General features: G+C 37.3%; 1 protein-coding gene and 1 long non-coding RNA gene across 6 annotated transcripts in view; one reads left to right on the top strand and one right to left on the bottom strand.

The window, feature by feature from the left end:
* The window catches only part of KCNIP4 (potassium voltage-gated channel interacting protein 4), a 1,220,167-nt gene that overhangs the window by 334,365 nt on the left and 859,721 nt on the right, over positions 1–26,081 (top strand). The window lies entirely within an intron of this gene.
* The window catches only part of LOC105374516 (uncharacterized), a 31,627-nt gene continuing 6,231 nt past the window's right edge, over positions 686–26,081 (bottom strand). The window contains exons 3-4 of the long non-coding RNA NR_134233.1: positions 5,463–5,598; positions 686–1,076 (exon numbers count right to left, since the gene is read on the bottom strand). This is a non-coding gene — a long non-coding RNA (uncharacterized LOC105374516). The remainder of the gene's footprint in view (positions 1,077–5,462; positions 5,599–26,081) is intronic.

Here is a 26,081-nt window from a genome sequence, read left to right as displayed (position 1 = left end):
GGTAGGGGTGCATTCATTTTTCCTAGCTTTGGAACTGCTATTAAGCTGTTGAGCTTGTTTGACCAGAAAATTCTTTCTGGCCTGGTTTTATGCCCTGGAAGTTTGTATAGCATATGCCTAAACACCTGCATCCCTCATGTCAAGAGCGTGTTGTCTGCATGAATAAAATTCACTCTCTAATAATCTTTTCAGTTTGTACTCATTCTACTCAGCTAAAGGCTGAATTGATTTTCTCTGACCAGAAGAATTTTTTTTTTTTTTTTGAGATAGAGTCTCGCTTTCTCACCCAGGCTGGAGTGCAGCCCCACCATCTCGGCTCACTGCAACCTCCATCTCTTGAGTTTAAGCTTTTGCCTCAGTCTCCCGCATAGCTGGATTACAGGTGCATGCTACCACGCCTGGCTAATTTTTTTTTTTTTTGTATTTTTAGTAGAGACAGATTTTCACCATTTGGCCAGGCTGCTTGAACCCCTGACCTCAGGTGATCTGCCCAGTTCAACCTCCCAAAGTGCTGGGCTTACAGGCATGGACCATTGCACTTGCCTGGCCACCAGAATAAATGAAAGTGTTGGTGGGCCCTACCTGGATCCATTGAGGAATAGAAGAATTGTTTCCCTGTAGAATATTTTTCTAGAGACACATGTAAATAAATGCATGGAACATTTCTTACCACATACACTTATGAGAACATGCAGGTCACATTTAATGGTACTACCTGGACAACATGAAGGGATTTTGAGATTATTTTAGGGTTAGTGTATACTCATGTCTTAGTTATCTATTACCACATAATAAATTACCTCAAAATTTAGTGGCTTAAAACAACAATAGGCATTTAGTATCTCACAGCTCTTCTGTGGGTCAGGAATTCAGGAGCTTAATTGTGTTCTTCTGGACAGGGGTCTCTCATGAGGTTGCATCCATGTAAAGGCTTTAGAGAGTCTGCATTCATGATCAAGGTAGTTCATTTATATGGCCAGTTGGTGCTGGCTGTTGGCAGGAGGCCTTAGTTTTTCTCCATGTAAACTGCTCCATAAGGCTGCTTGAATGTCCTCATGCATGGTGGCCCACAGAGACTGAACCAAGAGAACAAACAAGGCAGAAGCTAAAATTTCTTTGATAACCCAGCCTCTGATGACACATGGTGCCATTTCTACAATGTCCTATTGGTTAACACATATCAGCCCTATTGAATGTGGTAGTAGGCTGTCCAAGGGCATGGGTGTAGGAGGCTGGCTCATGTTGGGAGCATGATTGCAACAGTATACCATAATGAATACACTGGATTATGGGAGAAATATCAATTACTCCCTCATGTTCCAACTTGGTGGAGTGGCTGCTGATCCAACAGTACTCAAGATTAGACTGATGAAACCAGGGTCTCAGAATATGAACAGGGCCTTTTTCTCTCTACATACCTTTGAACGGCCTACTTATGCATTCTTTGCCTGACATCTATTAAAACTAAGAATGATATTACTTCTATTAAAAGGAAGATTTTTCTGATATCCCCAAGTCAGGGTGCAACTCCTCTGTTTTTGCATAGTACTCTTTACATAGTGCTTCTTATAACTTGCACTTAACACATTGCATTGTGATTACTTTACCCTCTATCAAGCTGCCTGCTGTGCTGGAAGCCATTGGCTTGGATTAAAGGTGACAGTATTATTGAAGATTTTGCTGAATTAATCAGCTTTGATTTTGCGTGTCCATTTCTGCCCCATCTATTTAATGAATAATTGATCTGTCAAACAGAATACTAGCTTTTTATTAAATAGCCGTATCATATTAGATGCCAATGTAGAGTATGCCAATGTGGCTTAATTGTTTTCATCAAATGCATTCCATCTCTTTAATTAAATTAAGTATCCACTCCAGACAACTGAAAAAGCCAGACTTCTCCTTTAAAATTCCATGATTCAATGACTTGAGGGTTCAGCCCCAGTCAGTGCAATTTCTTTTGAGATGGATTCTTGCTATGTTACCCAGACTAGTTTCAAACTTCTGGGCTCAAGTGATTTCCAAGCCTCAGCCTCCTGAGTATATTGGACTACAGGCATGTGCCACTGAGTGTGACGTTATTAACATGCCAGTTTTCTATACAAAAACTTTGTTTCTTTTCACTTTGGTGGCATACTGTGGAATGCAACCCAGCTCCATTTGTTCAATGCACATAATATTTCAGTGATGCTGTATTCTGACAACCAATTTCAGCCTAAAATGAAATAAAACAGAAAAACCTCCTTTTTTTAAAAAAAATCAATCTTTTTTTCTACAACATAAATAAAATGAAAGTCAAACATTCAATTCTAACTCTGAGTTGACAGGCGTATATCCCACACTTTGAGGCATTGTTATTAAAAAGACAATTATGTCTTCACTCTAATGGATTATTGGCTGTTCTAAAGTTTGTCTCGTAACTAAGAAAAAGTTAAATCATTGAGAAAAGGGAAAACATGCAGTTTCTCTAAGTTTATCTTACTGAGAATGCAAACAGTGATCCTGATCTTTATCCTAACATGTAATGCTTGGAGGCATTGGATTCTTCCATAGTTGGTCTTGTACCTTTCCGTCTCTCTAACTATACCTGCCGGCTTGAGTTGGTCCTACAAAAACCTAGTGACATTGAAGAATGTTATCCCCCACCCCTCCAAAAAATGTATGGTACATCTGTATAGCTGTTCATGGGATTACAGAATGAAGAGTTAAAGCACCTCTTGCCATGATGAAAGGAAAAAAACAAAAACAAAAACAAACAAACAAACAAACAAAAAAACCTTAAACCAGGTGAAGAGATAGAGTGGATATTGGTGGCTATATATTTGTCTTCATCAATGTTAACAAACCAAGATTCGACACTGTTAATTCCTTAATTGCTCACTGATATGATTTGGCTGTGTCCCCACCCAAATCTCATACTGAATTGTAATCTCCATAATCCCCATGTATCTAGGGAGAGACTTGATGGGAGGTGATTGGATCATGGAGGTGGCTTCCCCCATGCTGTTCTTGAGATGGTGAGTGAGTTCTCATAAGATCTGATGGTTTTATAAGGGGCTCTTCTCCCTTCACTCCTCTTCTTCTCTCTCTCACCTGCTGTCATCTAATATAAAGACACATGCACACATAATGTTTATTGCAGCACTGTTCACAATAGCAAAGTCTTGGAACCAACCCAAATGCCCATCAATGGTAGACTGGATAAAGAAAATGTGACACATATACACCATGGAATACTATGCAGCCATAAAAAAGGATGAGTTCATGTCCTTTGTAGGGACATGGAAGAAGCTGGAAACTATCATTCTCAGCAAACTAACAAAAGAACAGAAAACCAAACACCACATGTTCTCACTCATAAGTGGGAGGTGAACAATGAGAACACATGGACACAGGGAGGAGAACATCACACACTGGGGCCTGTCAGGGGGTGGGGGTCTAGGGGAGGGATAGCATTAGGAGAAATATCTAATGTAGATGATGAGTTGATGGGTGCAGCAAATCACCGTGGCACATATATACCTATGTAGCAAACCTGCACGTTCTGCACATGTACTCCAGAGCTTAAAGTATAATTAAAAAAAAAAAGATGTGCCTCTTCCCTTTTCACCATGTTTGTAAGTTTCCTGAGGCCTCCCCACCCATGCAGAAAAGTGAGTCAATTAAACCTCTTTCTTTTATAAATTACCCAGTCTCGGGTTTTTCTTTGTAGCAGTATGAAAATGTATGAATAAACTCATTTACACAAATGACTTCGTATTCTTATTGGTGTTTTTATGTATTCTAATATACATATTTAATTTCTTAGAGCTAAAATCCCTAATGTGAATTTTGATTGTGTTTTTCTTCTGTGTTATGGGCTAAATTGTGTCATCCTCCCTCACAAAAAGAAAGATTATAATACGTTCCAGTACCTCAAATGAAACTATATTTGTTTAATGGGACTTACAGAGTTAAATTAAAATGAGGTCATTAGTGTGGACCCTAAGCCAATATCACTGCTGTCCTCATAAGGAGATGAAATTTGGATACAGACATGTAAAGAAGGAAGACAATGTGAAGACAAAGGGTGAAGATTAGCCATCTTCAAGCCAAGGAGAAAGGTCTAGAATAGATCATTCCTCATAGTCTGCAGAAGTAACCTACCCCACTGACATCTTGATTTTGGATGTCTAGCCTCCAGAACTGTGTGAAAATAAATTTCTGCTGGTTTATCCATTCACTCTGTAGTGTTTTGTTACAGTAGCCATAGCAAGCTTATAAATTGCCCGAAGGGCATGACCTGTTATAACCTGCCACTGAAAAGTAGTTCATAGTCAAAATGGTTTTATAATCTAAAGACAGCAGGAGAAGTATCCCTAAGGTAGCAGGAGAAGTATCTCCTAAATATAACAGTTTCTGCCTGTTTCCAGAATATCAGAGTAGGTATGACAAGAATATTCCTGGTGTGGCATGAGGAATAGTAGTAATGAGATAATATTTCAATTCAGATAGTATTCGATCTTCAGCAGCATCAAGACATTCACCTAATAAAATATATCTTACAAACATTTGTGAGTATTAAATGTGATAACCACAAAAGTACTTAGATTAACACAGTCTTAGCACATAGTAGGGTGCTCGCTACATGTTCTTGCTCTCCTATCAGTTTGTAGTCAAGTATAACTCACAGATTATTTTTCTGCTTTTCTTTTACCTCACTAGTCTGTGTCCCTAATTTAAGGAAGCAATCTTCTTCTCTTTTCTCTATTTTCCATGAGGATATCTTGTTAAGAAATATCATCTTCATTGTGATTACTTGTTGCTCTAATTTTTAAAGATCCCCTTCAAATCTAGTCCTAGCAAATTTTTCTATCTTCAGAGGTGTCTGAATTAATGAGTATGCCCTGTAGTCAGCAATTCAGATCTTTGATTAAAAATAGACATACAGGCTGTCCTTGTTTTGCACAGAACCATATTAACTGTAACTCATGCGAAGTGAGGAATTGATCACTATGAATGAATTCATTTAACATAATGCTGGTACTGTGGAAAGCATGGACTACCTGTAAGATTTAAAGAGATGCCCTTCAATTTATTTTCCTATATTGTGGTTGACCAATACATAATATCAGTATGCCTTATTCAAACACACATACATACAATAGATACACAAACACACACCCATAATTTTATTCAAAATTTATTTTTCTCATTATTCACAAGCATATTCTTGCTTTTCTATTTACTTGAAATGATTTCTCCTATCCATTCCTGTTCTTCCTATTAAACTTCCTGCATACTTCAAATTTCAAATTGAACATAATCTCTTGGAGGACTTTTACTAAATTCTCCCAGGAAAGTCAGTTTATCTCTCATCAGTTCTCCTAGTATTTTCAGTATCTCTTAATATGGATGAAATGGATCACCTTTGGCTGGTCAGTGATGAGGCAACATTTTGGCTGTGAGGAAGCACCACCTACCTCTAGTCTGTGTGCTCCGGGTGACTTGTTTTCAATTGCTGCATTCTTGAAGTACATTTGGGCCATTACAGACTGTTCAAGGATGCTAAAAGAGATGCCCAGCCATATGCCTTGATTTTCTTTGAGAACTCGGAGTCTGTGGGAGAAAATTAGAAGCAAAAATTTCAGACATATGTAGATCTAATGACCCTGATGACTGGAGTACAAGAGGCAGTGCTTGACTGACTAATGTTCTACAATGATGCTTACACCTTAATCTCTAGATTCTGTGACTATTTTATGTTATATTACATGGCAAAAAAAGACCTGGCAGATGTGATAAAGGCTATGGACCTCGATATGGGGAGATTATCCTGGAGGCCCCAATGTAATCACATGGATTCTCAAAAACAGAAGAGGAACACAGAAGAGTCAGAGAAGTTTGATGTAAGAAGGACTCGGCCACCATTGATGCCTTTGAAAATGGAGGAAGGAGACACAAGCCAAGGAATGCAGGTAATTTCTAGAATCTAAGAATGGTCCTTAGCTGACATCAAGGAAATGTGGATCTCAGTTGCACAGCACAAGGAACTAAGCTCAGCCAGCAGCCTGAATGAGCAAGAACAGAGACATTCCTCTAGAGGTTTCAGAAAGTAAGGCAGCCCCGCAGACACCTTTATATCAGGCTTGTGAGATTCTAAATAAAGACGTGGCAGTGACCACTGGACTTCTGACCTATAGAAAATGTCAGACAATAAATTTGTGTTTCTTTAAGCTTCTAAGGTTGTGGTAATTAGTTGTGGAAGAATACAGAGGGAATAGAAAGGGAATGTAGAGTAGAGAGGGAAATGTCTGTAATAAGGACCATCATGAAAAAACAAAACAATAAAGCCTTTAAGAGAAAAGCACCATGAGTAAAAGCCTTGCAGAGCAGGGCAAGCCTTAGCATCCGGGCCTGAATTAGAACCTGGAAGAGATCCCAAGAACTTTGCACGTCTGTATACAACTGTCACCTGCAGCGTCTCAGCTCCCCAGTTCTCAGGAGCCTGTTGTCTCTTGTGAAGCAGATGATTGTGGAACAATGGAAATAGCTTTGTTACTAGAGAGTCCACCAGCTGTGCTATGTGACTATGTTCTGAAAAATTCAGGGTAAGCATAGGTTTTTCTGTGACCTGTGAGAAAGGGAGGCAGATGCAAGTTGGAGAGACCAGCAGTATCATGGACAGTGGCTTGCATGACATCTTAGGCCTACTTAATGCTAGACTTCAAAGGAACAGGACTAAGAAAACTGGCAGAGCTACAGATAAACATTATGCTTATATGTGAGAAGCTCTCCCCATGCAAGGATTCCCGGAGTCCCAGAGTGAATGAATGGCTGGGGAGATCCCGGGATCAAATCGGGTGCTTTCTAATAGTGTCCACCTGATTTGATTCTGGGATCTCCTGAGCCATTCATTCACTTTGGGAATTTGGAGTGTAGACATGTTAGGAAGCACTTGTAAGTGTCTATTGTTGATAGCTGCAATCAAATTCTCCTAAGTCTGAAGCTTGTAGGCATTCGCCATATGTTTAATAATTTTATCTTCTATCTTGATAAAGTAGGTGGACATCAGAATTGTTCATTTTAATTGAGTACTTGTGCTGTTGTAAGCACATTTCATATATTAACACATTATTCCTTAGAAGAACCTTCTGAGATAGGCGTTATTCACTGTGGTTTACAGTTGAGGAAACTGAGGCGTGGAGAGACTGTGTCATTAGTCCAGAGTTGCATAGTTAGTATGTGGTGGCATTGGGATTGAATCTAGACAATATGGCTCCAGACACCATGTTTTTCACAGCTGTTGTGACAGACAGAATGAAAGCACCCCAAGGTGGCCACATCTTAATTCATGGACCCTACTAATATATTTTGCTACATTATAAAAAAAAAAAAAGGTTGCTAATTAGCTGACATTAAGATAGGCAGATTTTCCTGAGTTATATGTGAGGAACCCATGAAATCACAAGGGTCCTAAGGAGTGGAAGAGTGAGTCAGAGGGAAGATTGGAGTAATACGATTTGAGAACTCAATTCACCATTGATGGCTTTCAACATGGAAGGCATGCACAAGCCAAAGAATGCAGGCAGAGTAAAAACTAACGTCAGGAATTTGTGACCAGCTTGGCCAGCATGTGAAACCCCATCTCTACTAAAAATACAAAAATTAGCTGGATGTAGTGATGCGCTCCTGTTATCCCAGCTACTCGGGAGGCTGAGGCAGGAGAATCGATTGAACCCGGGAGGCAGAGGTTGCAGTGAGCCGAAATGGTGCCATTGCACTCCAGCCTGGGTAACAGAGCAAGACTCTGTCTCAAAAACAAACAACAAACAACAAACAAACAAACAAACAAAACAGCACAGAAACTAACTCCTCCCTAGAGCACTGGGAAAGCAACACAGCCCTGCTGACACCTTGATTTCAGTCCACTGAGACCCACATCAGACTTCTGACCTCTAGAGCTAAAAGGTAATACATTCGCAATTTTGGAAGCCACTAAGTTTGTGGTAATTCGGTACAGCAGCAATAGAAAAGTAATGACTCTGCTGACTACTGTTCCCAGATCATATCAGGGATTCTCAGAAAGATAACTCTCTTCCTCTCCATCCATCCTCAGTGATATGTTAAAAAGGATCCTGTTTGCCATACATATCGAGTCTCAATGTTATTATCCTACCAGCCACCACCACCTTCACTCTCTGATCAAATTATCACTATTTAGAAATTATGAAGCTGCCATTGCCAGAAATATCCTTTCTCTGAGTTCCCATATCTGGATGGCCACCACCCCAAGCTCCCCTCCAAATAATATAATTCTTTCTCTGGCTATCCAGGCATGGGTTCAACTCCCCAGTAAGATTGTTCAGGGTACTGAATTTAATGCTTAGGGCATTTCTCATTCTTTCTACATATTTTTCCTGTCCAAAGAGAAAACAACAGAAGGAAGGAAACCTATTGGCCACCATTTCTAAGACAACAGAGGATGGTTTTTTTCTGTCTGGAAGAAGACTCCCTCAACTTGCGTCTACTCAGAGCCACTAACTCCTCCTCCCACCCCATTTTTTTGATGGTGGTCAGGGAATGGTTAACTATCTTTGTTTACATGTGAAAACTAATTTAGTTTTAGTCAATAAAATAACCATTGTACGCCAGGCACAGTGGATCACGCCTGTAATCCCAGCACTTTGGGAGGCCGAGGTAGGCGATCACCTGAGGTCAGGAATTCGAGACCAGCCTGGCCAACATGGTGAAACCCCATCTCTACTAAAAATACAAAAATTAGCTGGGTGTGGTGGCGGGCACCTGTAGTACCAGCTACTCTGGAGGCTGAGGCAGGAGAATCGCTTGAACCTGGGAGACAAAGGTTGCAATGAGCCGAGATCACGCCACTGCACTCCAGCCTGGGCGACAGAGTGAGACTCCGTCTCAAAAAAAAAATTGTAAAAAGGAATATTAAAAATAGAATGTTTGAGATTGGGCATATTGGTCTCGCCCTAGAAGCTTTATGACAGAGCAAGGCACAAGAATGAAGCATCCAATGATCCTCAATAAGGACTCACTTTAAAAATGTACTTGCCTTGCCTCATTGACTTTGAGGAGAAGCCTATAGCCTCCAAGGAAAGTTTATTTACCTTTGTGCCATAGTGTTTGTTAGCCTTTTCCAATCTGCCAAGAGTGAAAATGAGAATCTCAGGAGTCTGCTATTTCTGACAGCGTCTACAGCAAACCAGATGGCATTGTCCCTTGGAACAGCTAGTGTTCATGTTTATGTCATCCTTGGTCTCTTAGCTTCTGAGCCATAGGTCAATAGTTTTACTCATTTCAACGTGGACCACACTTGCATTTTAGTGACCAGCCCGCAAGAATCCCACCAAAGAAGACTTGCTGTTTTACTCCCAGAAACACCCCAGTGTCCTTTAAAGTTCAGAAAATGCCAGAGGAACAACACTTTCACTAGACTAACTGTCCATTTACACTGAAAATGTCCTAATACATTTGGAAACCTAAAGCGAAGTAATCTGACCTCTTGGAGGCTTTTGAAATAATTGATCAAAGTGATAAAGATGTTCCACTAGCTACTTTACTTTTCTAGTTTGTCTTTCAATATCTTTGTCCCACAGTGATTTTCAAAAGAATTGCTTGAATTTGTCTAAATTTAGTGTACCAAAAAAAGGATATCAAATCTCATCCTAACTTCTTCAGACAAATAGCATCCAATTTATATTTTTCAGAGGTAGTCCGTGTAAAAGTTGGCTTTATCTTAAATATAGACAATCTATGAAACTCTGTATGGAAATAAAAGATTAATGAGGGTTATTTTTCACTCTTAGACAAAAATTTCCAATAGCAAATAATCCTGCAATTTGCCAAGGTCCCATTTATGCTTGCCATTTGAGGAGCAAAATATATCGTGTTAAACAAGATAGAGGTGGTATTACTGTATATTGCTGTATTACAATGTTTAATAAGTCTTTTATACTGAAATCACACAACCCTAGGTAAAAATTCTGGTTCCTAAAATTACTAGCTGAGCAAACATGGTCAGATTACTTAAATTCCTTTACCCCTTGTTCTAGAGTTTCTTTATCTATAAATGGATAGCAAGAGCAACTAACACGTAGGATGATTTAGACACAGCAAAAAGTAGGCATTCATCTGTTACTCTTAGGTTTCTAAACAATTTAATGGGCTTTAAGCAAATGACTCCACATCTGCATTGCAACAATAGATACTACCATTTCATTAGCACTATTATATGTAGTAATAGAAGGTATATTATTCAAAAATTAATATATTTTACTTCATTTTGAGGTAACTCTCTAACTTAATCAAACTTTCCTATTCACTAAATAATTTTTATAAAAGTAAAACCTAAAATTTATAATCGACGAATGAAAAAAATCTTAGATTTCCCATTACCGAACAGAAGTCTACTAAAATTTCAACTTAAAATCACAAGTCTATCAGTTACTTCATTATATTTTGATTAAAATATATTTTAAACTATAAGACTATCAGTCTACTAGATTAAATTTGTTTAAGCATCTCAGAAACATAAATTGCCTAAATGTGCAAATCCTTAGACATGAGAATCCAATTCTATAATTTCAGATATTATAGTTTTGATTTTGTTAAATCTTTTTGTTTGTGATTTTTCATCTGGGATTGAAAGACACATCGCTAGTCAGACAGGTCATTAGCATTCATTTAACTGGATTTTTTTTTTTATCATTGCTACTTACTTTTAATTGTCTTAAGATTGGAAGATTCATGGCCACTCAGGCAATTGCCTTTCCAAATAACAGAAGTTGGACCCCGTGATTTTAGCTTAGCCGGCAAGGTACCTGGAGCTGCAGATATTGTGGGCTTCAAAATATTCAAAAGTAGTTGGCCTCTTAGTTAATAAAATGTAATATCTTACCTGCTTTCATTTCTCAACCAGCCAAAACATTTGACTGGATTTTGCACTTTCTTCTTTGCATTTGAAGTCTTACATTCTTTCTCTATTTCCTTCCCTTCATCCTTTCTTTCCTTTCTTTCTTCTTTCTCCTCTTCCTCCTCTTTTTCTTTCCCACACAATCTTGCAAATACTCAAAAAGTCTGAATAAATTTTAGTGATCTCTATGATCTCTTATGGCTTTATGTGACTTGCAGATACAACTTCACTCCAAGGTCATTTTACAGACACAGAAGAGGATTCAAAACACAAAATTTAGAAAACTAGAGCAACTGCAAAGTTAGTAAATAAATGCTCAAATAAGTTTATTCATCCATGTAATGAAGGAGTGATAAAAGATGTTTTAAAGCTCTTTGGCAAAATCAACAGAAGAGAGAAATAATCATGAGTCTTGTAAGTATTGTTAAAAGTTGTTTTTTCCAAAAAACAATATATTGGATAAAACTGCCAAAAAGGAATAATCAAAGCTGAATAGATATGTAGATGCAAGCAAATACTTAACATTTATAGGAATGTATATAAACATGGACATTATATCTTATTCATTAGTGTTTCATAAAATTTTAAATGGCAAAATTCAAATTCAATGATTGGTTTCCAAGAATCTTTATTTCTTTAATTAAGAAGAGATTTAAAGTACCTCCCTTGAACTAAGCATTATATTTGAATTGCTTCATACTCTTCCTTCTTTATTCTGAACCTATCAATTTAGGTAAGTACAGTTACAGGCATACGTAAATCAAAAAGATGAGTACCCACAGCTACAGTTGCAGCTACAATTGTTGCATTAGCCATAAATGACCAAATATATTTAAAATACATTCTGAGCAATATAATAAGGATTAATTATATGTAATTTCTTTGAATCATTGTACTTGAGGATTATTCATACCTTATGTGTGTGTATCTTTCTATACATGTGAAAAGTCAACACACACACATACAATGAGAGACTTGAGTTCAGCTTATTTATTAGTCTTAAGGCTCCATCACTCTGATCATCACTGTTCTCACATCTTATCTACACTCTGGTATGGGCAGCAGCAGATTTATTTGTTCATTCAGGATACATTTATTGAGTATCTACTGCCCCTGGAGAACCGTGTTATATGCAGAGGATCCTGAGATGAATAAGATTCATCCTTTACTCCAAGGAGGTCTAATTTGGGAGAAGGACATGCAAGCAAATAGTTATGAAACAGTTTGATGCTGTAATGAGACATGGAGCAAGGCAAACCTAGATGTGATCAATGCTGTTTGGGGTGAAAGAGGACTTCCCAGCAGAAGAGTTGTTTGAATTAAGTGTTGAAGAATATTCTAGAGCCTAGCAAGTAGTCAGTGCCCAAGGTTGAAGAAGCCTATTTGAAGCAGAAGGAACAACATAAGCAAAGCCATTGAGACATTCAACAAATGCTTATTGAAATGGTGTCCTTACAATTGCGTTGGGGAGGGGCATGACTATATTAGTAAACTAACTAATTCAGGTGATTTTGCTAAGTGAGAAATGGCGTGAAGAAAATAAAGCACAGTAAAGTAACAGAGAAATATGGGGAGGACACTTAGCGTTTGATGGTGTGGTCAAGGAGAGCTTCTCCGAGGAGGTGACAGTTGAGACCTGAATAAGGAGTAAGAACCAGCCATGCATAAGCATGGAGGAAAAGCTACAGGAAGGTTCTGAGAGCAAAGTTCCTAAAGCAGAAATGAGCTTGGCTCATGTGAGGATCAGGAAGGTCAGTTGGGTTGGAGTGATTTGAAAGAGTGGGAGGATGGAAGGAGAGAAGGGGCAGAGGGTAGGCAGGAATCAGATCATAGAGGACCTTATAGACCAATGGATGGAATATGAACATCCATCCAGTGCAGCAGGAAGCCATTGGAGAGCCAAATAGAGGACTGACATGATCTTATTATTTTATCAAAATTCACTTAGGGGGTTGGGTGGAGGACATGTTTAGGGGAAGAGAAAGGGGAAAGGAGAGTCTCTTACAGAGGTGCAGAAAAAACATGATGGTGATTTAAGTTGGAGTGGTCGAGGCCAGAAGCAGAACAGCATATTTGGGACACTGTAAGTACTTATTATAGCTGGATATATATTAATTTTGATTATATACATGGAATGAGATGGAGATTAGTTGGGGTAAATTGACAGTCTCTGGGTTATAAATGCACTTTTTAATTGCATGGATGTTGAAATTGATTCTTTTGGCAATGTGAAAACATTAAAGTGTTTTAAGGAGAAAAGAAAAGCAATGGCATAATCAGATTTGGTTTGATGATAGTTTGGACTGCAGCAATGTGAAGAAGGAATTGAGAGGAGGGAGATTGGTGCTAGGAAGCCCAGATAGAACCCTAGGACACTGGTGCCTGTGAAAACGGTTGGGGGATTAAATGAAGGGATGTGTGGTAAGCATAAAGGGATCTAGGATGACACCCAGTTTTTTGTTTTGTTTGTTTAACGTTAGTGACTGGAATAGTGATGGCCTTCTTTAGTAAGATTTTTTTAAATGACAAAAGGGGATCAGGTTTGTGTTGGTGATATTGGATTTGGTGTCTTTGTGGGATTTGCAAGAGGAGATGTCTATTAGCAGGTACCTGAGCAAGGATAGATAAGGCAAGGCTGGAAATCCAATTTTATAGATGTAGCAAGGAGCTCATACACAAGTATTCATGATGGAAATGAAATACAACATGGGTATTGGAGGACATCTATCCAAGTGTCAATTCAGAGGAACAGCTCACAACCATGGGGAAATCGAAAGTGTTGTAAACACATGCAGAGCATGAGTGTTTACCAGTACTAGGTCAAGATTCTAGGCATGGCTGGAAAATAAGAAGAACTTTAAGAGAAGTTGATTAGTGGGTACAAGTATACACAGTTAGATAGGAGAAATGATAACTGGTATTCAACTGATCAGTAGGATGACTATAGTTTACGCTAATCTATTGTACATTTCAAAATAGCTAGAAGAGAATAATTTGAATATTTCTCAAATAAAAAGTAAATAAGGTGATGAATAGCCCAATTACACCAATTTATACATTATATGAATGTGTCAAACTAGCACGTGTACCCCCAAAATATGTACATCTATTATGCATCAATTAAAAAAGTAAAACTTTAGTTCTATACAGATTTAAAATCTTAATAATGTCAGTAATTATGAAAGTTTGAGCAGCTTCATTCCAAATTTAGGTAGTTTTGGATCAAGGATCTAGACACAAAATACAAGAGACTGTTACAAGTTGATATTAAGTGAACATTTTGGCTCAGCATGAAAGTTTTTGTATTGTTTATCTCCTTTAGGGAGGAAGCCATACCTTAGCATCACCAAGCCTGGCCCTTTCAGTGGACTGAGTGGGAGGACTTGGTTAGCAGAGGGAGTAAGGGAATGAAGAAAGAAGCAGTTTGAAACAGTTCTGTTTACATCAATACTTCTTAAGATGTGATCTGAGGACCACCTGCAGCAGAATCGCTGAGGATTTTTGTTGAAAATGATATTTATTACTGAATCCTACCCAGATCTAGTGAATCAAAATCCCTGAGAATAGGGCTGTGTCTCTATTGTCGTCAAGTCTTATATTTAGTACTCCCTACAACTTCCTTTGGGCCTGCCTCCAATATTTATAGGTTATCTCCAAATCCTGGCTTCTTAAACTCAATTCTTCTGGCATCCAGAGCATTTCACCTTTGGTAGGTAAACCAGGAAAGTTAACACAGAATACAGCAGTCAGCTTGGCCAGAGCAACTCTGCTCAGAACAATTATTGAACTCACACCTAAAATACAGATCTGAACTAGTAAAAGCCAAACCCTATAATTCACTTTGTAGTAGAAGCAACAAAGGACAGCACTGTCACTTGAATTACTTACTGTGGTATTATTTTGCTCTCAAGCTTACCTCTAATTTTATAATTTTATGTTTGCATGTAAAAAAGTCAATCCATTTATGGTACTTAACACAGTCTGTGGCACCTATTAAGTACGTAATACATGGTAGTTATCATTTTTTTCTTTCTTATTTTTGTTACAATTTGCATTTTGAGGGGAAAGTTGTGAACTTCGAAATTAATTTCTTTAAGGAAATTCTGAAATTATAGTACTATAAAAATAGTAAATCATAATTATTATAATAGAAACTTTATTTTAAAAACACTCTTGGTTATTGATTCCCTTTCTAAGACAGGGAAGTAACCAGAATCAAAAGGTTGTACAGACTGAAAAATAATTTTCAAAAATGTGTATTAATATTCAAAATGTATTATTTGTTTTAACATGTGAAACAGGGGAGGAGGATTCAAAGCAGAACATAGGAGGCAGTAGAACATTTCCCGAAGGGTCCCTGTCTCCACACAGGAGCTAACTGAACAGAGGAGGAATAGTGTTGCAAGGATGCTCAAATCAAGATCTGACGAATGTTGACAGCAAAACAATAATCCAGCTGTAGGACTGCAGCGATGATACAGTTAATCAAATGCATCAACTTCATAAATTCTGATATGTTCTGAGATGTCTGTTCCCTGAAGATAAGTCTAATAATCCTAACCTGATGTGTCTTCCAGGAGTCATAATGTGGCTCTGTTTAATGGGAAATCAGCTAGGAGGATATTTGCACTTGGAATTGGAAACTGTGGAAAGACATGGAGACAAACTGAAAATTCGTAAATTGGATGAGTTGGGAGACCCCACTGGTGCATGAATGCAAAAGAACCAGGGTGCTCATGTGTAGATCTTGCAAATATTTACTTTTCTTAGTTAAACATTTTTAGCTTAAAAATCTCAGATCTTTTTGGGGGGAAGCACTGTCTAAATAAAGCAGATGCAAGAAAACGGTGAAATAGTGTCTTTAGAATTAGAGAGGCTCTGTGAGGGATTAATGAGTTGACTTTCTCACCATCATACCCTCATCATCAATCATAGGAGTTGATAAACCCCAGGCCAAATCCAGTCTGCTGCCTGCCTGGTTTTGTAAATAAAGTTTTATTGGCACACAACCACTCTCATTTTTTACATATCTCCTATAGCTAGTTTTGTACTACAACTGCAGGGTTGAGTATTGCATCAGAGACTGTATGACTTGCAAAGCCTAAAATATGTACTATCTGATGCTTTACAAAGTTTTCTGACCTTGATCTTGTATACAGCCTGGCAAAGACTAAGAGTTCAACTATTCTTCAGTTAACTTAAAATGCATGTTCTCTATACAAGCTGGTCTAGCTGATTAACCTTTTTGAAACTCAATTATCCCCAATGCTAAAATGGGTATAAAATCAATCTTACAAAATTGTTGCATGTAGTAAGTACTTGCAACACTGTTTATGCATAAAACACAGTATTACATTCTTCCGTGTTCTCTCCTTTCATTTAATGGTAACCGGTGCTGCTTTAATCCAGAATAGTCAGTGGCATGCTGACTAGTGATTTTACAGCTTTCTGAATTTTTCAGACGTACCGAAATAATTTACCCTCCCAACTGAATCAACAGTTCATAATTATTTATTACTCTCTTAAAATGCATTTTTTCTTTTCTCTTCTGTTGTCTTTTTCTTTCTCTCCTTTATAGCTAAATATATGTTTTGCTATAAATCGAACAAGTCCTCTTTTTCTTTTTATATTTACCACTGGGGACCTAATTCATTTGATTTCTCTGGAAAAACACAATATCCTAAAAACCTGCATTGTCTGGATGCTTTGCTGTTAAAGCAGTAAAAACAGCATGGTAGTATATTTTAAGAAAATGTCCTAAATCCTGTAATTTTGGGTCATCCCCAATCTGCCAACTCTTTTTGAATGAATACAGTAGACCTAGGCTCCAAGGGAGCTGTAGATAATAAAAGGACCAATCAAAGAAAACACTTTTCTTTCATACCTTGGGAAAGCCAATGAACTGAAGGAAAGTGGCTTTGATGGCAGAATTTGGTGATGTGGCCCTCCCCTCAGCTTTCTGAGACAAGCCTGGCTTTCATCCTATGCTAATTTTGAAACAGGAAGAAACTTCTTTCTAGAACATTGTGTGAAGATATTCATGGGTGTATTAGTCCATTTTCACACTGCTGATAAAGACATACCCGAGACTGGATAATTTATAAAGAAAAAGAGATTTAATAGACTTATAGTTGCATGTGTCTGGGGAGGCCTCATGATCATGGCCGAAGGTGAAAAGCACGTCTTACATCGCGGCAGACAAGAGAGAAAAGAGAACCAAGTGAAAGTGGTTTCCCCTTATAAAACCATCAGGTCTTCTGAGACTTATTCACTACCACAAAAACAGTATGGGGGAAACGACCCCCATGATGCAATTATCTCCCACCAGGTCCCTCCCACAACATGTGAGAATTATGGGAGCTACAATTCAAGATGAGATTTGAGTGGGGACACAGCCAAACCATATCAATGAACAATATTTTATCAAAGGTATTGTAGGTGGGACGACTTCACATTCACCACCACCACCCCCATGATGTTTCACTTGACAAAACCCCTTGAAACACTTATTTTCTTCTCAATCTCCACAGGCTTCAGATAGAAAGTAACCCATCCTCCACTGGCTCTCCATCTCCTCGGAGGATGGTTTCCGCTTCCAAATCTTCTGCCTGGAACTCAGTTCCTCTCCATTTCTTCTTTACAAATATCTTGGTCCTTTCCTCGCTTTTAGCTCCACACCTGGTACCTGCAGTGACTGTTTAGTATGATCCTAAGTAAGGTTTTACTGAGGGGGAAGACGCATTTGTACTAAGCAAACAAAAGACCTTCCCCTGCTCAGGCCCCATTATTCTAACGGAGTAATTCAGGGTTATAAATAGCATCAATAACAAAAGCTTCTTTCTTCTTCTTCCCTGGCTCAAAGCCAGGTGGAGGCAAGCTTTGTTTTTGTTCTTTTTTGTTTTTATTTTTTCCTCTCCAGGAAAGGTAGATGGAGATAGGGAGGGGGGTTTCAAAACAGTGCACACACAATTTGATTTGACTATGACTTTAGCAACATGCCAAGTTAAGAAAGACAATATCTTTATTCCAGGTTATGGAGATCAACTCCTAAAAGCAACAGCAGAAATAAAAATGCAGTGTTAACAGATTTTACCATTTACAGAGTCAATAGACTTCTTGTAACATATATATAAATGTGTTTATTCGTATGTTACAAGAAGCATTAATAAAAATTGCCTTTGAAGCCCAATTATGGTGTACTGAAATATTTGCCCATTAGAATTCATCCAAACAGTTGAAAATTTTTATTGTAGATGGTAAAATATAAATATTAGTTGAATTAGTATAATTATAAGCCAATTTGCCTTAAGACAAAAGTAGCCTATGTCTGTTTGGAATTCTATGAGATACAGACCATTGTGTTAAACAAGAAACAGAGAATGAAAGCTGAACAATTAAGAGAGTTGGGCCATGATACAAGGCGTTGGTTGCGCTAAGGACAAACTAAGTGTCTTCTAATGCAAATTTGGGGATTTATTGAAGTAACAATCCTCAACACTTTCTCTGTGCTTCAACACAAGTTGCTCTGGAAAGCAGGAGATTTCAAGTGGCCCCTGAAGCTGCTCTGTTTAATTTCTCACATGCTCCTGGGGATTCTCAGTTTTCCACTACCTAGGATAGGATTGAGGCTGAACAGAGAAGTCAGCACACGGTAGATTGTCAATAAATATTTTTTCAGGGACTAGATGGTACTATTTAGGTTTGTGCAAAAGTAATTGCAATTCTCTAATGACCAGTGATGATGAGCTTTTTTTTCATATGTTTATTGCTTGCATAAACTATAGTGAGATACCGTATCATGCCAATTAGAAGGGCTGTCATTAAAAAGTCAGGAAACTGGATGCTGGAGAAGAAGAGGAGAAATAGGAATGCTCTTACACTGTTGGTAGGAGTGTAAATTAGTTCAAGCGTTGTGGAAGACAGTGTGGCATTCCTCAAGGATCTGGAACCAGAAATACTATTTGACCCAGCAATCCCATTACTGGGTGTATACCCAAAGGATTATAAATCATTCTACTATAAAGACACATGCATACTCATGTTTACTGTAGCACTATTCATAGTAGCAAAGACTTGGAACCCACCCAAATGCCCATCAATGATAGACTGGATAAAGAAAATGTGGCACATATATACCGTGGAATACTATTTAGCCATAAAAAAGAATGAGTTCATGTCCTGTGCAGGGACATGGACGGAGCTGGAAACCATCATTCTCAGCAAACTATCACAGGAACAGAAAACCAAACATCTCATGTTCTCACTCATTAGTGGGAGTTGAACAGTGAGAACACATGGACACAGGGAGGGGAACATCACACACTGGGGCCTGTCAGAGGGTTGGGGTGCAAGGGTAGGGATAGCATTAGGACAAATAGCTAATGTATGTGGGACTTAAAACCTAGATGACAGGTTGATGGGTGCAGTAAATCACCATGGCACATGTATACCTATGTAACAAACCTGCACATTCTGCACACGTATCCCAGAACTTAAAGTATAAAAAGTATAATAAATTTTTTTAAAAAAAGTAATTGTGGTTTTTGCCATTACTTTTCATGACCAAAACCACAGTTACTTTTGCACCAACATAATATTCCAAATGGAATGTGCCAAATGTTGATTCTAAATATTAATATTCCAAATTGAAGGAAACCCTGAGACAGTATACTTCCATTGTGCCACATTTAACACATGGATTAAGAAATGTGGTTTGTTCTTATGTGCAGAAGTTTTAAATTTTCATGTAGACGCTTCCATCAATTTTTTGTTGCATGTAATTTTTAAATTATCTTTATCTCTGAGCAGCATTTTTCTTCCTGAGATCAAATTAAGCCATTCTGCTCTGTTCTGATTGATTGATTATTGACTATGTTTTACTCTCTCTTCCCTCCTACCTTCATCCCTCCTCCCCATTATAATTTCTAATGCTGGTTTCTATTTACCAAAGACTTACTATAGAGCCAAGTATTGCCCTGAGAATTTTACATCTTATATCATCTACCCACCAGCCCTGCATATTATTATTGTTCTCATAAAAGTTAAGAATTGCTCAAAAGTGTTATGAAATTAAGCAGATGTATTTTTCCAGCCCAAAACCTTTGGTCATAACTATTATGCTATTCTCCCTTATTTGTCGTTGGTTGCTTTTGTTGTTGTTCATTAAAAGATTTTGTACTTTTGGCCAATAGCTCATTTCAAAAATATTGAATTGTTTATTTCTATATCTCTAAACTCTATAATAATATCCTAACATATGGTGTAACTCAGGATGCCATGAGTTGGAACATATAAATCTGAGAGCACAGCTTCCTTCACAGAACACAGCAACTGTCTTTCTTTACATTGTTGCTGTTGAGGAGTTATTTTAAATTACAAGAAATTTGGTATTGTATCTTTCAAGGTAACCTGTTTTTTTTCCCTTTCAGCTTGTTCACAAGTCTCATTTCCTAGCTCCATTTCCTACATACATGCAGGCCCCAAGGTATACTAAGTAAGCAAATTATGTTGGCTGGTAGGTGTTCAGAAGTAATTTTGAACACAAATGATTCCTGTTTTAGCTTGAACACACTAAATGCAAAGATTCTTCAGATGAGAACAGCCTGAGTAATGGCTCACTCAGTAACAGACAATTCTTGCACTATTTGTCTCAAATGTTGACATGGCATTAATGCTGCTATGGAACTAGATTTTTCAAAATATCTGTGACTGAGAACTGGACAAATTATCCTGTTTCAGGTCTTGGTATAGGTGCACTTAAGGGCATGCATCTGTCTTGATGTGTCAAGAAAATGTCCTCTTAAACAAGGTGTGGGAATTCTCACCAGCTGGCTCCAGTAGGTTGTGGGGCAATAAGGAGGGTGGGAGAGATGACTTGGCATGGAAATTGGTGCAAAATCTGCAGTGCTAATAGATAACAGCTGGAGAAGGTAATGAGTCATTTTATGAGGACGAGGTGAGCCGTGTTTGTGCCAGGTCCGGGGACCACAGTGGCAAATGTGGTACAGACGGCAACCTCAGAATCCGAGAATTCTAATTAAGGATGAGAAAGGAACAGGGCACTGACAGGCTGTCAGCAGAAGAGCAGAGCACTCCGACCACAAAACCACTCGGAGGTTCCCACTCTGTCTTTGCTCTTTCAGAGATAATAAACGGATCACATTTTTAATTCCTGCAATTTTAGGGTAAATTTAACCAGCAATGGGCATTCAGCCCAGAAGTGGCAGCATAAGTTAAGAATTTTATTCTTGATTTTTACAGTCCAATGTGTGTACACAAACACTCTGCTCCTTGCCCTGGTATCTATGGAGTAGCAGGACTTTTTTTTTTCACTCTGTTAAGAAACACACACACACACACACACACACACAAACACACACACACACATTATTTAAATTGCAGAATGAATATATGCAATGCAGCATTTTAGAAGGAGTCCAAGGAGTTGGAAAACCACTGGACATCATAGATCAGAACTCTTGGCAAATTGTAATATTGCAATTTCAATAAACTCATAAGTTTTTCCTTCCCATTCATCTTATTTTAGTGGAGGCCTCATACAGCCATGAGAGCCTCATGCTCTTTGAAATGAAACTAAGGGGCACTCTAATCATAGATTGTTGTTTCTTCCTTTCTCGCTTCAAACACCAAAAAAAATATTTTATGTGCTAGTCAGCTCTTTCAGTGACTTTCCTCTATGACACCTTAGCTCTTGTTGAATCTCTATATAGAAATAAAAATTATCAATTAGGCCTGCATATTTGTCTTGCTAGAATTATACTTTCACCTCTTTCAAAGAAATAGAAGATTAAATATGCAGCTTTCTTATAAGCACGTGCCTTACAATGATGTTGAATTCAATCATGGGGTTGGATTCAGGAGTTCTTGGAATACAAACAACTATGAACAAAATTACTGAGAGCTCCATTCTCAAGAAGCCAAAGTACCTGTTTAAATTATTTGTGCATAATAGTGATGATCAACCTTAACAAAATTATCCAGGTCTTTTAAAACTCCAACCAATCAATGATAATTTCTGTTTTGTCTAAGAAAACTTGTGAGAATAAAATGAGAAATTAAAAGGTAAGTCAATACTTTCTATGATGGAATACTTAAAATAACCAAACGAGATATCTTATATATGTTGTTTGTTCTCTTGCATTGTTACAGAGAAAAAAATGAGACATCCATGATCCATAGTTACCAAGATGGAAACTTGTGTCAAAGAATAAATACTCTTCTCTTCTCCAACAATAGCCACATTCTGAGGATTTCACAAAAAAACAGATGTTATCTCTTTGCTGATTTTTCCCTTCCTTTTTCTTGGCATAATTGTCATAGTGATAATTTCAATGCTTCTCTCTGTCAATGACTTCTAAGTCAGATCCCTGATTTTGTCATCCAGAATTCAGCCTGAATTCTGTTACTCCAGTATATTTTCCCATGACTATCCCTCTATCACTTTGGTCTCAGTAAGTCTGAATTCACTTACAGACAACTTCCAATGCAGCACCGTAGAACTGTATTTGTGGCTTTCAATGGTGCCTCCCTTCGCCAAGTCATTCAATTAGAACAATTTATTCTTTCTGTTAATTCCTTTTCTTCATATATTGGACATTATCAGAGTTAAAAGGTGCCTTTGAGAATATTTTAGTGCAGTCTGCTACAAATTCAGGAATCTCTTTCAGAATGTTTCTGATAGATGTTAAAATAACTTGCTTTAATTGCACACTTGCAAGTATTAAAAGATAAAGGTTTTTAAAGGTAAAATCAAGACTCTCATACAAATATAGAACAAATGCACATCTCAAAAATTTTATTTAACTCCAGAATTACTGAAGTCACCAGTAAGATATTATAATTGATTCAAAGTGACTCTCAAAGAACCACACATTCTAGGCAAATCTAGAATGCTAAAAAGAATTTACACGTACATCCAAAAGGAGTTATAGGGCAATCATAATTTAGACACCACAAATTTGCACTGCAATAGACAAAAGTGATTTGCATTATTTTCAGTTTTTTTAATTTACGTAGTTACAAAATATCTCAAAGACAATAAAAGCTTGAGATACCCAAAAGGCTGCATCACACAGGATAGCCAGTGGCTTTTGTTTTGTTTTGTTTTGTTTTTGTGTTTTCTTTTGGTCTATTTCAAAATATTTCACAATTTTTCTTTACACAGGTAAAAATAAAATTGTTGTGAATAGGCCATTTTCTTTTTTGACCTCATACTGGCAGAAGGTTTTCCTAATACAGAAGTAAAATGTTCATTCCTATAACGTTCCTCCTTGTTTTTTATGACACCTATTAGGGTAGCTCAAATGATTTTAGATTCTCTGAGTAATCCTTCAATAAATGCAGGCACTATTTGTCCCATATTTCCTTCCTTTTTCTTTGTTAAATATTGTCAATTTTTTTTAGCTTTTCTTTATATAAGACATTTTTCAAACATCTAAATACCTGAATTAGTCTCCTCCTCTTGACAAGGTATAGTGTTCTTGTGTGTTTTACCCATTTCTAAGTATTAATACATAGACGTAGTGGTTCTGCACTGAGAAATATTCAGCAGATTAATGGGATACTTACCTGCCTTGCTTGGACATTGTTTCTATTATGTAGCTTAAAATTATAAGACCTAATTTTAAGAGAGAGAGAGGATCAGTTTTGTCTATAAGCATAGCCTTACTGATACACTGGTCCAAACATGTTGTCTAGTTCCCTTCTCTACAAAACAATAAACTAATAACATGTACTGTGCATTGAAGATAGTAATGACCCATTGGGATCACATATTAAACTTAGGAGATATGATACACCATACAATTAAAGGTTATTTTTAATATATGTATATCTATGTCACACAACTTCAGTATATGCTGAAATAAACATCCCTAAACCTTTTATTTTTTCTTCCTCCCTTCATTCATCCTTTCTTTGCTTTCTTCTTTCCTCCTTTCTTTATATGAGATTCCTGACAACCGGCCAGCTTCATGGATATACAACCTGTCTGGTTGCAAAGGGCCACATACTTAGAAGGACCCCACCCTTATTTTAGCCTCTTGTGTCACAGTCTTGAGATTATTCATACTCTTTAAACAAGGGGCCCTGCAATCTATTTTTCCCCAGACACAGCAAATTATGTAGCTGTTCTTTCTTGCCAAATAAGGTCTATGCCATCCTATTCACAAACAATTGATTCCTTGATAGCTATTCTTTTCTTCCCTTCCCACACCTACTGAAAACACTTTAGAATAGGTTTCATCCCTTTCCAACCAGAATGAGTGAGACACCAGCTGCCTAGCTATTCACCTAGCTATTCACTCCTCCTCTAGTTTTTTTGGCTCACAGAACCCAGTTAATCCTTTAATATACTTTTTTCATAATACCACTTTTATACTAAAACATCAAGACAATACAAGCTCTAAATTTTGCTGGAAATGCTAATAGTAATCTTTTCCTACCCTCTGATTTGCCCTTCCTTAATTCTAGTTGCTCCTTCCAAATTTTATTTTTAATTTACATGGCATCATCACTAAACCAAACCATGAATATCTTATAAAACATCTTACTTTTCTAGCATCTTATGAAATTCAATTCATTAATCTAATTCTTCAACTATTTAACAAATATTAACTAAACAGGTGCTTGGTGGTGAGAACTACTCAATTAATGGCAGCAATGCAATGGAGAAAAAAACATACTTGGTCCCTATCCTCTGTAATTTACAGCTTAGAAGGGGGGACAGTTTTTAATAAGTTATTACTCACTTGTGAAGAGTGTCATGAAGGAATAAAATTGGGGACTATAAGAGAGAATTAAAGGAAGCATAATTTGCCTTCTGTCCTTTGACTATTTAAACCTCATACATAGTTCGAAATACAGAGAAGCAGCTGCTTCTTAAATGTAGCTTCTTGTTTCTTATTTTCCTTGCTTACAGTATTTAGTCTGCTTATCCAATTCAACCCTTTTGCATTAATATTTTATTTCTTGCTTCCCCAGTTAGATTGTGGTCTAGACTATGCCTCATATGCTTTTTTTGCCCTTTAAGGCTCAGCTTAGCTATTACCTTCTCTAGAACCCTTGCCTTACTATCCTTTTCTCCGACCCTGAACATGTATATATATATGTACATATATACATACACATGTATATATATACACGTGTATATGTACATGTATATATGTATCTATACACATATATATGTATCTATACATATATGTATCTGTATAGATACATATATGTATATATGTATCTGTATAGATACATGTGTACTTATATATGTACACATATATATATATATATATATATATATATATATATATATATATATACACACCTCCATTTTTGTGCCCCTACAGCACTGAGTCCAGGATATCCTAACTGATTACTTAGACTATTTTATAGTAATCTGGTTTCTTCTTTTCGTCTCTCACTATTGCATTATTTCCATTTCCATATGATTTGACTTTCTTTTATCTCTATTCCCAGTGCTCACCATGGCACCAGGCTCAGAGTAGGAGATACTCATCTGCTTCTGAATGGATGAAAAGGTGATTAGTTCTACCAGGCCTGCTGTGTCTCTGAATTTAAATATTGAGGAATAATCCAAGTGATGGTTGCAGAATCCTTATGTCGTAGTGACTTATTACTAATTACAAATACTATGATATACAAAAAAAATAGGAACATTTACACAATTAGAAAATAAAATCCCATTCTTGGCTAGGTATCTGACAATATTCTCTAGAGACAGAGTAGATTTCAATTACAGTTAGGGTATAATGTATTGTTATTGTTCCTTCCATTACCAGCTAATTTTTTTAGAGTACCTCTGCTGTGGTCTGGGATGCCTTTAGTAGGGTTTGGGATCACAGCTCCCTATAAGTAAAGATATAGAAAGTAGAAGTATCCTGCATATGTATCTGAAATATAGGTAATTCATTTCCTGATGTAGGGCGTGGGACACTTAGGGTTACAATCCTGATGTATCTGGAATGGCCTTACAAACCATCGGAGAAGGAGGAGGTAAACCTCACATACCTAATTAGCATCAAAATCTTTGCATTTTCTCCTTTGGTTTAAGGTTGCCATCTTGAGGGGAGGAGGGAAGATCAGGGATAAGTTATTGGGATTTAAACATTTATTCAGACTTTCCTCACCA

The sequence above is a fragment of the Homo sapiens genome, chromosome 4 (assembly GCF_000001405.40).
Source record: "Homo sapiens chromosome 4, GRCh38.p14 Primary Assembly".
In the NCBI taxonomy this organism is placed as follows: Eukaryota; Metazoa; Chordata; class Mammalia; order Primates; family Hominidae; genus Homo; species Homo sapiens.
Note: the sequence above shows the minus strand (reverse complement) of the source record. Positions and strands in the feature narration are given on the sequence as shown.